At 43.5% G+C, this 17,348-nt stretch overlaps 1 protein-coding gene across 4 annotated transcripts in view; it reads left to right on the forward strand.

Annotated features, from left to right (window-relative positions):
- Nucleotides 1-17,348, forward strand: part of TMEM248 (transmembrane protein 248) — a 37,327-nt gene that overhangs the window by 3,507 nt on the left and 16,472 nt on the right. For 2 of the 4 annotated variants that reach the window (NM_017994.5, XM_024446821.2), the window contains exon 2: nt 17,117-17,293. In NM_017994.5, coding sequence (NP_060464.1) covers nt 17,135-17,293 — 159 coding nt within the window. In that variant the 5' untranslated portion in view covers nt 17,117-17,134. Of the gene's footprint in view, nt 1-3,028; nt 3,047-5,883; nt 6,138-17,116; nt 17,294-17,348 lie in introns of those variants that run through there. The other 2 variants (XM_024446820.2, XM_024446819.2) reach the window with 2 other exon arrangements.

Raw genomic sequence — 17,348 nt, forward strand, 5'->3', positions numbered from 1 at the left:
ATGGAGTCTCACCTTGTTGTCTGGGCTGGAGTGTAGTGGCATGACCTCGGTCACTGCAACCTTCGCCGCCCAGTTTCAAACGATTCTTCTGGCTCAGCCTCCCGTGTAGCTGGGACTACAGGCACGCACCACCACGCCTGGCTAATTTTTTTGTATTTTAGTAGAGATGGGGTTTCGCCATGTTGGTCAGGCTGGTTTTGAACTCCTGACCTCGTGATCCGCCCGCCTTGGCCTCTCAAAGTGCTGGGATTACAGGCGTGAGCCACCAGCCCCGGCCCTATTTTTTAATTAAAAAAAATAATTATTACGGGACAGAGTTTTGCTCTGTTGTCCTGGCTGGAGTGCTGTGGGTGATCATGGCTCACTGCACCCTCCTCCTCCTGGGCTCAAGTCATACTCCTGCCTCAGTCTCCTGAGTGGCTGGGAGCACAGATGTACACCACCACACCTGGCTAATTTTTTGATTTTTTGTAGAGGCAAGGTCTCACTCTGTTGCTCAGGCTGGTCTCAAACTCCTGGGCACAAGTGATCCTCCCATCTTGGCCTCCCAAAATGCTAGCATTAAAGGTGTGAGCCACCCAAAAATAACTGTATTAACTATATTTACCACACTGTGCAATATAACTCAAAAAAGAAAAAATATATTCCTTTTCTCTAACGGACTTTGTACCCTTTGACCATCATCTCCCTGTTCCCCACCCCCTGCTTCTGTAACCATAGTTCTGCTCTCTGCTGCAATGAGTTCCATTGTCTTCTAGATTCCACATATAAGTGGAATCCTATATTGTGCTTCTATGCCTGGCTTATTTCTCTTAGTATAACGTTCATCGCTTCTGTCCATGTTGTGGCAAATAGTGCTGCAGTGAACAGACATCTCTTTGACAATCTGATTTCAATTTGGGGTAGTATATATTCAGCAGTGGGATTGCTGGATCATGAAATAATTCTATTTGTAGTTTTTTCTTTTTTTTTTTTTTGGAGACAGAGTCTCGCTCTGTTGCCTGGATTCAAGCGATTCTCCTGCCTCAGCCTCCCGAGTAGCTGAGATTACAGGTGCACGCCACCACGCCACGCTAATTTTTTGTATTTTTAGTAGAGACAGGGTTTCACCATGTTGGTCAGGCTGGTCTTGAACTCCTGACCTCATAATCCACCCGCCTCAGCCTCCCAAAGTGCTGGGATTACAGACGTGAGCCACCACGCCCGGCCTATTTTTAGTTTTTAAAGGAATTTCTGTGCTGTTTTCCATCTTGGCTGTACTAATTTACATTCCCACAGTGCATGACGGCTCCCTTAGCTCCACATTCTCACCAGCATTTGTTTTTCTTTGATAAAAGTCATCCTGACAGGCGCGAGATGATATCTCATTGTGATTTTAATTTGCACTTCTCTAGTGATTGTGATATGTTGGCCAACTATATCTGTTGGCCATTTGTCGGTCTCTTGAGAAACATCTGTTCGTGTCCCTTGCCCATTTTTTAATCCCTAGGGATTTGGAGAAGCTACTTGCAAACCATACGTCTGAAAAGGGGTTAATATCCAAAATATATACAAAGCTCAAACAACTCAGTAGCAAGAAAACAAAAAATCCAATTGAAAAATGGGCAGCCAGGCACCGTGGCTTACGCCTGTAATGCCAGCACTTTGGGAGGCCAAGGCTGGTGGATTGCTTGAGGTCAGGAGTTCGAGACTAACCTGGCCAACATGGTGAAACCCTGTCTCTACTAAAAGTACAAGAATTAGCTGGGCGTGGTGGCACATGGTTGTAAGCATGCTTACAAGCTACTTCAGCTACTCAGGAGGCTGAAGCAGGAGAATCACTTGAACCTGGGATGTGGAGGTTGTGGTGAGCCGGGTTCGCACCACTGCAGTCCAGCCTGGGTGACAGAGCAAGACTCCATCTGAAACAAAAAAAAAAAAAAAGAAAAGAAAGAAAAATGGACAAAGAACCTTGGCCTTTCTTTAAAATGAAAAAACAGAAAGGAGGAAAGATAGAGGTTTTAGCAAATTGAATTTTCATTTAGATTGATTTCGAACATGGAAATCCTTAAGTTAACTTTCTCATGTACGAATCAAATACATTTGACAAGAGGTCTGTAGTGTTTTTTCTGCGTGTGATTACATACCTGAGTGTGATCCTGGGGAGTACATGACACAGCCTTCGAAACACTGCCGTTTGGACTTTTGTGTTGTTTGGTTACAAGTGCTGTTTTTCAAACATGTCCCAGTCTTACACACTGAGTTTGGTTACAGAAAGGTTTCATACTGAACTATTAGCTTTTGTTTGATCTTGGCATCCCTCATGACTTGTTTTCTTAAAAATTAAGCCCCAGATTATTAAATTTTAATATGGGAGTACTTTTAATTTTGGTGTTTAAGATGGTTGGCAATTATTTAAAAAACTAAAGAACAAAGATAAATTATTTTCCATCTTGAGACTGTAGTGAATTTTTTTAAGAAGCGGGGGGGTTGAACGTTACCATGGTTTTATATCATGATTTTGAAAATGGAACGATGCATTCATTAACAACCGTAAGTGAGGAGAAATAAACGGGAAGTCTGAGTTTTAGAAGTAAGTCTGGTTCCAGACATGTAATTATGTCAGCCTACATTCCTTTCCTTTTGTCTTTATGAGACTACTGATGTTGCCTAAACTACACGTTTAGCAACTAAAACTATGCTTTCTCTTGTAATTTCTTATTTGATCTTTTTTTTTTTTTTGAGACAAGGTTTCTCCCTGTCACCGAGGCTGGAGTGCAGTGGTGTGACCATAGCCGTGGCTCACAGTAGCCTTGAACTCTTGGACTCAACTGATCCTCCTGCCTTGCCCTCCCAATTAGCTGGGACTATAGGTGAAACCATGCCCAGCTAATTTTTTTTAATTTGGGTTTTGTTTTTTTTTTTTTTTAGGGACGGGGTCTCACTGTGTTGTCCAGGCTGGTCTCGAACTCCTGTGCTCAAGTGATCCTCTGACCTTGGCCTCCCAAAGTGTTGGGATTACAGGCATGAAACACCATGCCCAGTCTCTCTTTGGTTCCTTTTAAACGTGAGTTATTGTGAAAGTCTGTTCTACACTGTGAATTGTATCACATTAAGAAACAAGACACTATTGGCAGAAGACTGTGCCAGTCTTTGCTTCATACTCTTAACTGATGAATGAGTGCTGAGATGGGAGGAATCCTGCTAAAGAAATGGAAAATAGGCTGAGCACGGTAGCTCACACCTGTAATCCCAGCACTTTGGGAAGCCAAGGCAGGTGGATCACCTGAGGTCAGGAATTCAAGACCAGCCTGACCAGCTTGGTGAAACCCTGTCTCTACTAAAAATACAAAAATTAGCTAGGCCTGCTGGTGGGCGCCTGTAATCCCATTTAGTCAGGAGTCTGAAGCAGGAGAATCACTCGAACCCAGGAAGCAGAGGTTGCAGTGAGCTGAGATTGTGCCATTGCACTCCAGCCTGGGTGATGAGAGTGAAACTCAGTCTTGAAAAAAAAAGAAACTAAGTTAAACATTTTAAACTTCAAAAAAGTTGATCTCTTACTTGTGTCTTTGTTAAAATCAGTGACTAAAATGCACTTTGTATATCTATGGCATGTGAGTTGTTTTTTTTTTTCACTTTGGCATTTGACTTGAAACTGTCTTATCAACCTTGGCATTGTGATTGATAGCATGGCTTTTGGGGTCAGATGAATTAAGTCAGAATCCATTTCTGCCATTTATTTGCAGCATGACCTAGTACAAATTACTTAAGCTCATTTGCTTCAGTTTTCTCATCTGTAAAGTGGGAATAGTAGTATCTATCTAGCAGTGTTGCAAGGATTAAAAAATATGTTAAGCGCTTGGCACGGTGCCTGGGAATGGCATGTTCTAAGTGGTAGCTGTTAAGAATGCTCTCTTCTCACTCCTTCGTCCTTGTCACCTGGTTTTTGCCTCTATCACCCTAGTGAAAGGGGTTTTGCTTACATCACTATTGATGTCTCGATTGCAAAATTATATGGATGCTTTTCTGCCTTTTCTCATTTGATGGGATTGACTCTTAAAAAAATTTTTTTTTTCCTTTTTATTTTCATTTTTTGAGATAGGGTTTAACTCTGTCTCCCAGGCTAGAGTGCAGTGGTGCCATCACAGCTCACTGTAGCCTCAAACTCCTGGGTTCCGGTGATCCCTCCACCTCAGCCTCCCAAGTAGCTGGGACTACAGGTGTGCACCACCACACCCAGCTAAATTTTGTATTCTTTGTAGACACAGGGTCTTCTTGTGTTTTCCAGGCTGGTCTCGAATTCCTGGGCTCAAGTGATCGGCTGGCCTCAGCCTCCCAGAGTGCTAGAATTATGGGCAGGAGCCATTGTGCCCTGCCAGATTGACTTCTTTATGCAAACCTATATCATTTATTGGACCGAAGTAGAACTTAATGGTTAATGCATGGGCTCTGGAGGCCAACTGGATTTGAATCCAGGTTCACTTCCCGTGTGATCATGGGCACATTAGCTGACTTCTATATGCCTTAATTTCCGTATCTGTAAAATAGAGATGTTTTAGGGATCATACACAATAGGTGCAAAACTCTTAGAGCAGTGCCTCTCTCAAAAAGTAGGCAATGACGGTAGACGTTATTATTGTTAAGCACCTTCCTGGTGTCAGGCACTGTCCAAGGTAGGAGGAATGCAGAAACAATATCATGGAAATGAGAGACAAATTTTTTTTTTTTTTTTTTTTTTTTTTTTGATACAGACTCTTGCTCTCGTGCCCAGGCTGGAGTTCAGTGGCTTGATTTTGGCTCACTGCAACCTCCGCCTCCCGGGTTCAAGCGATTCTCCTGTCTCAGCTTCCTGAGTAGCTGGCATTATAGGCGTGCACCGCCATGCCCAGCTAATTTTTGTATTTTTATTAGAGATGGGGTTTCATGTTGGCCAGGATGCTCTCAAACTCCTGGCCTCAGGTGATCCACCTGCCTCGGCCTCCCAAAATGCTGGCATTACATCTGTGAGCACCCGGCTCAGACAACAATTTAATTTGGCTGAGGGTGCAGGGAGGCAGTGTCAGTGGGGATGGAGTGAGAGCTGCCCTTGAGAGACACTTAAAATGTGGAAACGATAGGACTTGGTAACTGGTTGTAGGAGAGCCAGAGTGTCAAGGATGACTGGCAGGAGCTGGGCGCAGTGGCTCACGTCTGTAATCCCAGCATTTGGGAGGCTGACGCGGGAGGATCGCTTGAGCCCAGGAGTTTGAGACCAGCCTGGGCAACATGGCAAAATCCCATCTCTACAAAAAATACAAAAATTAGCCAGGAGTGGTAGCATGCACTTGTAGTCCCAGCTACTTGGGAGGCCAAGGTGGGAGGATCGCTTGCGCCCAGGAAGTCAAGGCGGCTGCCATGCTCATACCACTGCACTCTAGCCTGGGCACCAGAGCCAGACCCTGTCTCAAAAAAAAGAATGACTGGCAGGGATCACTAGGTAAATGACGGTGTTTTTCCTTAGGGAAGGAGCCAGTTTGGTGCCTTGGGATAAGTTTTGGCCTTGATGGCCTTTGGGTCATCTAAGGAGATAGCTCCAGTAGGTGACTGTTTGGATCTGGAGGTGAGTAGGTACATAAAATGGGATTAAGGCATGAATGAGCGTGTCCCCCTTGAGCAGAGGCCCCAGCTGGAACTTGGGAACACCAGCTTTTGAAGGATCCTGAGAAGGAAGGGGTGGCCAGATGAATGTTAAGAAAACCCGGAGTGGAAACTGGGAGAGGATCCACCCCACTTCTGTATCAGATGCTGCAGCAACATGAGTTAGGGACTGGAGCTCCAGCTTTGGACTTAGCAGCCCAGAGATTACTGGAGACCTTGAAGTTCTCCTGTGTCTTCGTTGCTTCTCACTTGTCTCTCTGAAGGTTCATTCTGCCTGCACTGCTTTGCGGTGGGGCAGGAAGATGGTTTCTGCGCAGTGCTTGGGGCAGCTGGGTGCTGGAGCTTGCACAGGGTTTCTTTGATACCAGTAAGTGTCTTCAGCTCTAAGTGTTGGATAATCTGGCATCGCATCGATGACTGTTGTTTACTAGGCTCAGGGTTTGTAACCCCGGCCTTAAAGCTCTTTGAGGGTCTCAGACATCACAGGATATTTGAGAAATGCTACTTTCTGCTACATGAAGGTGAGTTTCTGTCATTCTGTCTTAGCACAAGTCCGATGTATTTCCTTTGGTTGGCGTAGAGAGCAGGCTTGCTTCTCCCATCCTCTCTTCCTCAACTTTCAGAAACTTCCCATTTAACCTAAGGTAGAAAATCTCATTTAAGATGAATGGTGGGCCTGGTGTGGTGGTTTGTGCCTGGAATCCCAGCACTTTGGGAGGCTGAGGCAGGTGGATCACTTGAAGTCAGGAGTTTGAGACCAGCCTGGCCAACATGGTGAAACCCCATCTCTACTAAAAATATCAAAATTAGCCGGACGTGGTGATGTGCACCTGTAGTCTCAGCTATTTGGGAGGCTGAGGTAGGAGAATCGCTTGAACCTGGGAGGCAGAGGTTGAGCAGAGATCACACTGCTGCATGCCAGCCTGGGTGACAGTGCGAGACAATATCTCAAAAAAAAAAAAAAAAAAAAAAAAGAACAGTTTAAAACTACAATAAAGTTAGTTTAAAACTTGGACAAGTAGCCATGTGTACATATGCGGGCTTTGGAGAGAGGGAGAAACTGAAAGGCTTCCTGTGTCTGTGGCATAATGAATGTTAACTTACTTTTTTTCTGATAAAATGTTATTAAGTTGCAAAATTACATTTTTTTTTTCCACCATGTTGGCCAGGCTGGAGTGCAGTGGCATGATCATAGCTCACTATAGCTTTGACCTCCTGGGCTGAGCCAGTCCTCCCACCTCAGACTCCCAAGTAGCTGGGCCATTGGTGTACACCACCATGCTTAGCTAATTTATTAAAAAATTGTTTTTTGTAGAGACGGGGTCTTGTTGTGTTGGCCAGGCTGGTTTCTAACTCCTGGCCTCAAGCAATCCTTCCATCTCAGCCTCCCAAAGTGCTGGGATTACAGGTGTGAGTTATTGTGCCCAACCAGGAGGCCTTCCTCCTTTTTTTTTTTTTTTTTTTTTTTTTTTTTTGAGGCAGAGTCTCGCTCTGTCACCCAGGCTGGAGTGCAGTGGTGCTATCTCGGCTCACTGCAAGCTCCGTCTCCTGGATTCATGCCATTCTCCTGCCTCAGCCTCTCAAGTAGCTGGGACTACAGGCGCCCGCCACCACACCTGGCTAATTTTTTGTACTTTTAGTAGAGACGGGGTTTCACCATGTTAGTCAGGATAGTCTCGATCTCCTGACCTCATGATCCACCCACCTTGGCCTCCCAAAGTGCTGGGATTACAGGCGTGAGCCACTGCACCCATCCGGCCTTCCTCCTTTACTAGCTGCTTTCCTCCCCTTATATTAGGTTGGTACAAAAGTAATCGTGGTTTTTGCCATTATGTATTGGTGAAAACCGCGATTCCTTTTGCACCAACACAATTAACTGTGTTTTTGTTAACTCATGTAATAAAAAGTAAGCATCTCCTCCCACACCTCTCCCTTTCACCTGAACTAGTAGTGTTTTGAAAGTTTATAACACAGTCTTTTCCTGGCCACCCTTAAGGAACTTGTGTTCTTGCAACCTGTGGGTTGCTTGAAATATTATCAGGGTAACCTGGATATTGCCTTTTGCTTACGTAAAGCGCCTTCTGTTGGTTACCTGTTGCCTCAGTTTCTCCATCCCTGTTCTCACCTCGCCAGATGGAGGATTGTGCAGAGCACAGTTTTCCCTGAGAACTTTTTTTTTTTTTTTTGAGATGGAGTCTTAGTCTGACACCCAGGCTGGAGTGCAGTGGCGTGATCTCGGCTCACTGCAACCTCTGCCTCCCAGGTTCAAGCAATTCTCCTGTCTCAGCCTCCCAATAGCTGGGATTACAGGCGCACGCTGCCACTCCCGGCTAATTTGTTGTATTTTTAGTAGAGATGGGGTTTCACCATGTTGCCCAAGCTAGTCTCGAACTCCTGAGCTCAGGCAGTCCACCCGCCTCAGCCTCCCAAAGTGCTAGGATTACAGGCATGAGCCACCGCGCCTGGCCGATTTTATTTTTTTATGGCAACTGTATGTGATATTTTAAGATCCTGTGGGTGTTTTGTTTGTTTGTTTTGAGACAGAGTCTCACTCCATCACCCAGGCTGGAGTGTAGTGGCACGATCTTAGCTCAATTCAACCTCCCAGGTTCAAGCAATTTGTGCCTCAGCCTCCTGAGTAGGTGGGACTACAACCACGCGCCACCACACCCGGCTAATTTTTTGTGTTTTTAGTAGAGACAGGGTTTCACCATGTTGCCCTGGCTGGTCTCGAACTCCTGACCTCAGGTGATCCGCCTGCTTCGACCTCCCAAAGTGCTGGGATTACAGGCGTGAGCCACTGTGCCTAGCTCCCGCTTTGTTTTGGTGGTTGTGGGGGATAAGAACTCACTCTGTTGCTCAGGCTAGAGTGCAGTGGCGTAATCAATCATAGCTCACTGCCGCCTCAAACTCCCAGGCTCAAGCCATCCTCCTGCCTCAGCCCCCCACGTAGCTGGGACTATGGACGTGTGCCACCACGCCCAGATCTTGTGTTTTTGATAGGTACAATACTGGGGAGAAATCCTGCTTTATTCAGTTGTCCCCTGCTATTGTTGGATATGTAGTTTTCCATTTTTTAACAATTGCAAACACTCCAAAAATAACTCTGAGTAGTTAAATCTTTGGAGCAATGGGTGTTTCCTTAGGTTTAGTTCTTAGAAGTAGAATGTTGGAGATAAAATATGCCAGATTTTAACACTATTGATATGTATAGCCAAGTTGGTTTCCAGAAAGTTTATAACACAGCTGTTTCCACGCCCCTTTTTAAGGAACTTGTGTTCTTGTAACTTGTGGGTTGCTAGAGATATCTTTGGGATAATCTTGGTATTGCCTTTTGCTTGCTTACAGTGCCGTCTGATGTTTAGCGTCTTCACTGAGTTAGTCTCAGAGATCTAAGGTACTGTGCTGATAGATTTTCATCACATGTTCTCACGTGCTTGTGAATTTGCCTTTTGGCCATGTTCAGTGTACCCTAAATCCCTGAACTTTTCAGAGAGGCAGCTTCCCAGCAGTGGTCATTTCTTTCTTCATCTTGGTCAATACCAGGATGCCCTAATTGGAGTTGGAATGAATTTAGCGGGAGGGGTCAAATAGTGTGCTTTCTTTTATCTCTTTTTCTTTTTTTTTTTCCTAAACAGAACTTAATTTATTCATTAATTAAAACTAACATTTGCCACTGTGACGCTTACAGAAATTTTCTCGTAACTCTTTGCAGAGGGGATACATTTATTTAGTCTTCATTAATTTCCTATTTGAAAACGCTTGTGAATGGTAGAAAGGAATTTTAAGTTTGTAAAATGTTTGGAATCTTAATAGTTTTATTCAAGCTTTCTTTTATTATTATTATTATTTTATTATTATTATTATTTTGAGATGGACTTTTGCTCTTGTTGCCCAGGCTGGAGTGCAGTGGCACAAAGTCAGCTCACTGCAACCTCTGCCTCCTGGGTTCAAGTGATTCTCCTGCCTCAGACTCCTGAGTAGCTGGGATTACAGGCACACGCCGCCATGCCCAGCTAATTTTTGTATTTTTAGTAGAAATGGGGTTTCATCATGTCAGTCAGGCAGATCTCGAACGCCTGACCTCAGGTGATCCACCCGCTTTGGCCTCCCAAAGTGCTGGGATTACAGGCGTGAACCACTGCGCCCGGTCCATTCTTTCGCTTTTTTAGTGACTATAATTGTCCTGTGCTGGAAGTTTCCCTAAATTAAATTGGCTTATGTTGACAATATTTGCCATTTTGTGGGTATTTCTGTTGATATAATTGTTTAAATTCTGGTGTGATGTGCTTTTAATGACTATTAGTTTTCCTTGAAGTGAATTCTAATTCAGATTTTTCTACTGTTTTCCTGAATGTTTCATAATTGTAGTTCCAAGTGGTAAGTGGGTCCTATTCATTTTTATATAAGGCTAAGGTTTTGGGCCAGGTGTGGTGGTTCACACCTATAATCCCAACACTGTGGGAGGCCAGGGTGGGCGTATCACTCGAGGACAGGAGTTCAAGACCAGTCTGGTCAACATGGTGAAACCCTGTCTCTACTTAAAAAAAGACAAAAATTAGCCAGGCATGTTGGCATGCACCTGTAATCTCAGCTACTCAGAAGGCTGAGGCAGGAGAATCACTTGAACCCAGGAGGCGGAGGTTGCAGTGAGCTGAGATTGTGCCCCTGCACTCCAACCTGGGCGACAGAGTGAGACTCTTGTGTCCAAAAAAACAAAAAAACAAAAATAAGTTTTTGTTCTTGCTCAATAAATTGAACTCTGATTTACTGTTGACATTTTTATTTATGAATCATATTAATCTTAACCTAACTAGTGTTGTTTCCAGATTATTATTGTTATTATTATTTTTGAGATGGAGTCTTGCTCTGTCACCCAGGCTGGAGTGCAGTGGCGCAATCTCAGCTCACTGCAACCTCCACCTCCTGGGTTCCAGCAGCTCTCCTGCCTCAGCCTCCCAAGTAGCTGGGATTACAGGTGCTTGCCATCACACCTGTCTAACGTTTGTATTTTTAGTAGAGACAGGGTTTCACCATGTTAGCCAGGCTAGCCTCAAACTCCTGACCTCAGGTGATCCACCCACCTTGGCCTCCCAAAGTGTTGGGATTACAGGCGTGAGCCACTGCGTCTGGCCCCATTTACTTTAAATCATCTCTAGATTACAGTACCTAATGCAATGCAAGTACTATGTAAATAGTTTTTATACTTTTTTGAAACGGAGTCTTACTTTGTTGTGCAGGCTGGAGTGCAGAGGCACGACGTTGGCTCACTACAACCTCTGCTTCCCAGGTTCAAGGGATTCTCATGCCTCAGCCTCATGAGTAACTGGGATTATAGATGCACACCATCGTGCCCAGCTAATTTTTATTTTTTTTAGTAGAGATGGAGTTTCACCGTGTTGGCCAGGCTGGTCTCGAACTCCTGGCTTCAAGTGATCCACCTGCCTTGGCCTCCCAAAGTGCTGGGATTACAGGCATGAGCCACCATGCCTGACCTCTTGATTTCTTTTTTAGATTGCTCTCTATTGGCACGTAGAAATGCTACTGATTTTTGTAGGTTGTTTTTGTGTCCTGCAACTTTACTGAAAATTGGTCTATCAGTTCTAGTTTTTTGATGGAGTATTTAGATTTATCCAAATATAAGATCATACCATCTGCAAACAAGGATAATTTATTTTATTCCTTTCCAGTTTGGATGCCCTTTATTTCTTGTCTGATTGCTGTATCTAGGACTTCTAGTACTCTGTTGAATTACGGTGGTGAAAGTGGGCATCCTTTTCATGTTCCAGATCTTAGAGGAAATGCTTTCAGTTTTTCACCATTCAGTGTGATACTAGTTGTGGGCCTGTTGTATATGGCTTTCATTGTGTGAGGTATGATCCTTCTAAGCCCAGTTTTTTTGAGGGTTTGTATCATGAAGAGATATTTAATTTTATCAAATGCTTTTTCAGCATCAGTTGAATGGATCATATGGTTTTTGTCCTTTATTCTGCTGATATGATGTATCGCTTTGATTTATCTGCATATGTTGAACCATCCTTGCTTCTAAGGGATAAATCCCACTTGGTCATGATGAATGATCTTTTTAATGTTTTGAATTCGGTTTGCCAGTATGTTTTGGAAGAGATTTACAACAATCTTCATCAGGGATATCTGCCTGTAGTTTTCCTTTTTTTTTTGATGTATCTTTGGTTTTGGTATCAGGGTGATACTGGACTCCTAGCATGAGTTTGGAGGTACTCCCTCTTCTTCTGCTTTTTGAGATAGTTTACGTAGGATTGGTATTAGTTCTTCTTTTAGTGTTTGGTAGAATTCAGCAGTGAAGCCATCAGGTCTTGGTAGGTTGTGTGTGTATAGGAATTCATCCATTTCTTCTAGGTTTTCCAGCCGGTGTGCAGTTGCTCGTGGTAGCCTGTAATGATCCTTTGAAGTCCTGTGATGTTGGTTTAATGTCTCCTTTTTCATGTCTGATACTATTTCTTTGAATCTTGTCTCTCTTTTTTCTGACTTCATCTGGTTCAAAACACCAACTCTTTGTTTCATTGATCTTTTATATTTTTTTGTTTCAAATTTATTTATTTCTGCTCTGATCTTTATTATTTCTTCTAATTTTGTGTTTGGTTTGCTCTTGTTTTTCTAATTCTTTAAGATGCATTGCATGTTGCTTTTTTGATGTTTTTCTACTTTTTTATGTAGGTGCTTATAGCTATAAACTTTCCTCTTAGTATTGCTTTCACTGGATCCCATAGGTTTTGGTATGTTGTGTTTTCATTTTCATTTGTTTCAAGACACTTTTTAATTTCCTTCTTAATTTCTTGATTGACCCACTGGCCATCCAGGAGCATGTTATTTAATTTCCATGTGTTTGTATAGTTTCCAGAATTCCTCTTGTAACTGATTTCTAGTTTTATTCCATTGTGGTCAGAGAAGATACTTGATATAATTTTGTATTTTTTTTAATGTTTTAAGACTTGTTCTGTGGCCTAACGTGGTCTATTTTTGGGAATGATCCATGTGATCTGTTAGGTCCATTTGGTCTGTAGTGCAGATTAAGTCATTTCTTTCTTGGTTTTCTGTCTAGATCTGTCCAATGCTGAAAGCAGAGTGTTGAAGTCTCCAGCTATGATTGTACTGGGGTCTGTCTTTCCCTTTAGTTCTAATATTTGCTTTATGTATCTTGGTGCTCCAGTGTTGGGTACATATATATTTATAATTGTTACATCATCTTGCTGAATTGACCGTTTGACCTTCTTTGTCTCTTTTTATAGTTCTTGTCTTGAAATCTATTTAGTCTGATTAAATATAGCTACTTCTGCTCTGCGCTTTTTTGGTTTCCATTTGCATGGAATATCTTTTTCCATTTCTTTATTTTCTTTTTTTGAGACGGAGTTTTGCTCTTGTTGCCCAGGCTGGAGTGCAATGGCGCGACCTTGGCTCACCACAACCTCTGCCTCCCAGGTTCAAGTGATCCTCCTGCCTCAGTCTCCCGAGTAGCTGGGATTATAGGCATGCACCACCACACCTGGCTAATTTTTTGTATTTTTAGTAGAGTCAGGGTTTCTCTACTAAAGAAACTGACTGTTGGTCAGGCTGGTCTCGAACTCCTGACCTCAGGTGATCTGCCCACCTCAGCCTCCCAAAATGCTGAGATTACAGGTGTGAGCCACTGCGCCCGGTTATTTCTTTATTTCCATTTGATGTGTGTCTTTATAGGTAGGGTGTGTTTCTTGTAGGCAACACATCGTTGGATCTGGTTTTTTTATTCATTCAGCCACTGTGTCTTTTGATTGGAGAGTTTAGTCCATTTACATTCAGTGTTGTTACTGATAAGTAAGGATTTACTCCTGCCATTTTGTTAGTTGTTTTTTGGTTGTTTTGTGGTCTTGTCTTCTTTCTTTCCTTCCTTCCTGTCTTCATTTTAGTGAAGGTGATTTTTCTCTGGTGGTATGTTTTAATTTCTTTTTATTTTTTATGTATCTGTTATAGGTTGGGCTTTCTTTATAGGACAGTGAAAACATTTGAAAATTGATAGTGAGGGTTGTTGTTCAAATCAGTGAATATACCAAAAATCATTGAATTGTATACTTTAAATGGGTGAATTGTATGGTATGTGAATTATTTCTTAATACTATTAAAAATATCAAGAACCTTTCTTTTTCTTTTCTTTTTGTTTTCTTTTGAGATGGAGTCTCGCTCTATCGTCGAAGCTGAAGTGCAGTGGTGTGATCTCGACTTGCTGCACCTCCGCCCTCCGGGTTCAACTGATTCTCCTGCTTCAGCCTCCCAACTAGCTGGGACTACAGGCACATGCCACCATGCCCAGCTACTTTTTGTATTTTTCATAGAGACGGGGTTTCACCATATTGGCCAGGCTGGTCTTGAACTCCTGACCTCGTGATCCACCTGCCTTGGCATCCCAAAGTGCTGGGATTACAGGCGTGAGCCACTGTGCCTGGCTTCTCAAGAACCTTTCATATGGCAAAAGATACCATAAACCATATTAAAGAAAACCCAGACTTGGATTAATTATACGTAACATATAAAACTGTTAAAGGCTTAGTACCCAAAACACAAAAGGAATTTCTAAACATCAATAAGAAATAGACTAACACCCTATTAGTAACTTACCAGAGGATTCAGGCAGTTCAGTTAAGATTGGGCCTAAATGGCTGATTAAAAAAGCGGAAAGATGCTTTGTTTCAGGGAGATACCATTTAAAATAATAGAGATATCATTTCACATCTGTCTTTTTGGACCATATTAATATGCCTTAGGAAATCAAGTGTTGGCACAAATCTCATGGAATGGAGCAGGCTCCTTCACTGCTGGGGAAGTGTAAACTGGTTGATCTCCTTGGAGAGTGGTCTGACAATATCAGGTTGAAGACAGGCCCTACTCTGTGACTTTGTTGTACTACAGCCACTCTTGTACCTGTTGCAATGCGCTTGGTGGGTGAAACAGTAACAGGAACCCAGCTAGGCCCCTCAGACTGGAATAACTCAACCACAGAACAATTACATATATACATCAGTGAAATTCAACGAACTAGATCAACAGAGATCAACAGAGATGTCAGAAAAACAATGTTGAGTGAAAGTGGCATGGAAAATGTGTTGCTGTTGATTTTTAGGGGCTGTTGATGCATCTTTTTGTCTCTAAAATTTAAACGCTGATACAGACTTTTTAAAAAATTGCTTTTTGCTAATGTTGTCGCAGTTTGCTCGTGTTTATAAGTGCTCATTGTGTGCCAGCTACTGTTCTAGGGGCCAGGGGCCAGGGCTGTAGCTGTGAACAAGACAGGCAAAATCTCCACTCTCACTGGGCTCATAAATGAGGGATGACAGATAGTAAACAAGTAGGAAAATAATTGTGCTCTTGGTTGATGCTAAACAATATAAAGGAAATAAAGCAGGGGCTGAGGGTGACCAAGGAAGGTGTGCAAAATCTCCGCTCTCGTTGGGCTCATAAATGAGGGATGACAAACAGTAAACAAGTAGGAAAATAATTGTGCTCTTGGTTGATGCTAAACAATATAAAGGAAATAAAGCAGGGGCTGAGGGTGACCAGGGAAGGTGTGCTCTGAGGAGCTGGCTATTAAACAGAGACTTGCATTTTTTTTTTTAATTGAGACAGTCTCATTCTGTCCCTCAGGCTGGAGTGCAGTGGCGTGATCCTGTCTTACTGCAACCTCCACCTCCCAGGTTCAAGTGATTCTCCTGCCTCAGCCTCCCTAGTAGCTGGGATTACAGGTGTGCACCACTATACCTGGCTAATTTTTGTATTTGTAGTAGAGGCGGGGTTTTGCCATGTTGGCCAGGCTGGTCTCGAACTCCTGACCTCAAGTGATCCACCCGCCTCGGCCTCCCAAAGTGCTGGGATTACAAGCATGAGCCACTGCGCCCAGCCATAGATGTGCGTTTTAAGAAGAGCAAACGTGGAAATGTTTGGGGAAAGCATCCAGGCAGATACAAAATTCTTCAGCTACATCATGGTCAAAAATGGCAGGAAGCATTAAATACTTATGAATAAACTTAATAAAAGAAGTGCAAACGTTAACACTGAAAACAGAAAACATTATTCAAATAAGGAAGCTAAATAGATGGAAAGGTCTGCAAGGCTCTTTGACTAGCAGACAACGTTGTTTGTTAAGAGAGCAGCACTCCCCAAAGCGATCCACAGATTCAGTGCAGTCCCTGTCAGTCCCAGCTGATTTCCTTGCAGACATTGACAAGATGATCCTGAAGAATAGCAAGTCCAGTGTGGCCAAAGCCCAGGAGGGAGGAGGGGAAGTGGATGGTGATGCAGTCAGGGAGACTGGCAGGGCTTCTGAGTCCTGAAAACCCTGTGGGCCATGACAGGGAGCTATTGCCGACCTCTCCTAGGTCTGGTAGAAGCCTTAGGAGCTTTTAAGCAGGGCTGGGATGGCTGTGAGCCATATGGCAATGAGCAGGACAGAATGTCGAATAAATAGAATTCAGCTTTTCAGTGGCAGGAAATGAGAGCATCCTCACTTTCTTTCTGTACATGTTGTGTATTTGTGTCACATTACTGACCCACCTAAACCTTTTCTTAAGTGATACGGAAGTAACAGTATTTATTATAGAATATTTAGAAGATTGAGTCTGGGTACGGTGACTCACACTTGCAATCCCAGAACTTTGGGAGGCTGAGGCAGGAGGATTGCTTGAGGCTAGGAGATCAAGACCAGCCTGGGCAACATAGCGAGACCCCATCTCTTAAAAGGTAATAAATTAGCCGGGCACGGTGGCTCACGCCTGTAATCCCAGCACTTTGGGGGGCCAAGGCAGGCAGATTACGAGGTCAGGAGTTCGAGACTAGCCTGGCCAATATGGTGAAACCCCATCTCTACTAAAAATACAAAAATTAGCTGGGTGTGGCGGCACATGCCTGTAGTCTCAGCTACTTGGGAGGCTGACGTGGGAGAATCACTTGAACCCAGGAGGCAGAGGTTGCAGTGAGCCAAGACTACACCATTGCTCCAGCCTGGGTCACAGAGTGAGACTCCGTCTCAAAAAAAAAAAAAAAGAAAAAAAAAAATTAGCCGGGCATAGTGGTACACACCTTTAGTCCTGGCTACTCGGGAGGCTGAGGTGGGAGGATAGCTTAAGCCTAGGAGTTCAAGGCTGCCGTGAGCTATGATCACGCCACTGCACTCTAGCCTGGGTGACAGAACGAGAGACCCTGTTTCTTAAAACACACACACACACACACACACACACACACACACACAATATTTAGAAGATTCAAACTGAAAGAGAATATGTATTCAGGATCCTGCCACTTTGAGGTAATGGCAGTTAACATTTAGTGTTTCTTCCTTCTAGTCTTTTGAATGAAGTTATGATCCGACATTTCTCAAATTCAGTAATGAGTGCCCATCCCACCCAGCTCACCCCCCAACACCTCAAAAGGAAACAAAAGAATCATAGCTTTCCTGTTGGCAAGTCAGTCCTTGAAGCTTCTGATTCATTTCTTTCAGGTGGAGCTGATCAGAATAATGTTCAGCATCAACCCCCTGGAGAACCTGAAGGTGTACATCAGCAGTCGGCCTCCCCTGGTGGTCTTCATGATCAGCGTAAGCGCCATGGCCATAGCTTTCCTGACCCTGGGCTACTTCTTCAAAATCAAGGAGATTAAATCCCCAGAAATGGCAGAGGTATAGTATGCTCTGACTTCTCCCGGGCTGGCTGGTCCTTGTGCAGTGGGGCAAC

Source organism: Homo sapiens, chromosome 7 (assembly GCF_000001405.40).
Source record: "Homo sapiens chromosome 7, GRCh38.p14 Primary Assembly".
In the NCBI taxonomy this organism is placed as follows: Eukaryota; Metazoa; Chordata; class Mammalia; order Primates; family Hominidae; genus Homo; species Homo sapiens.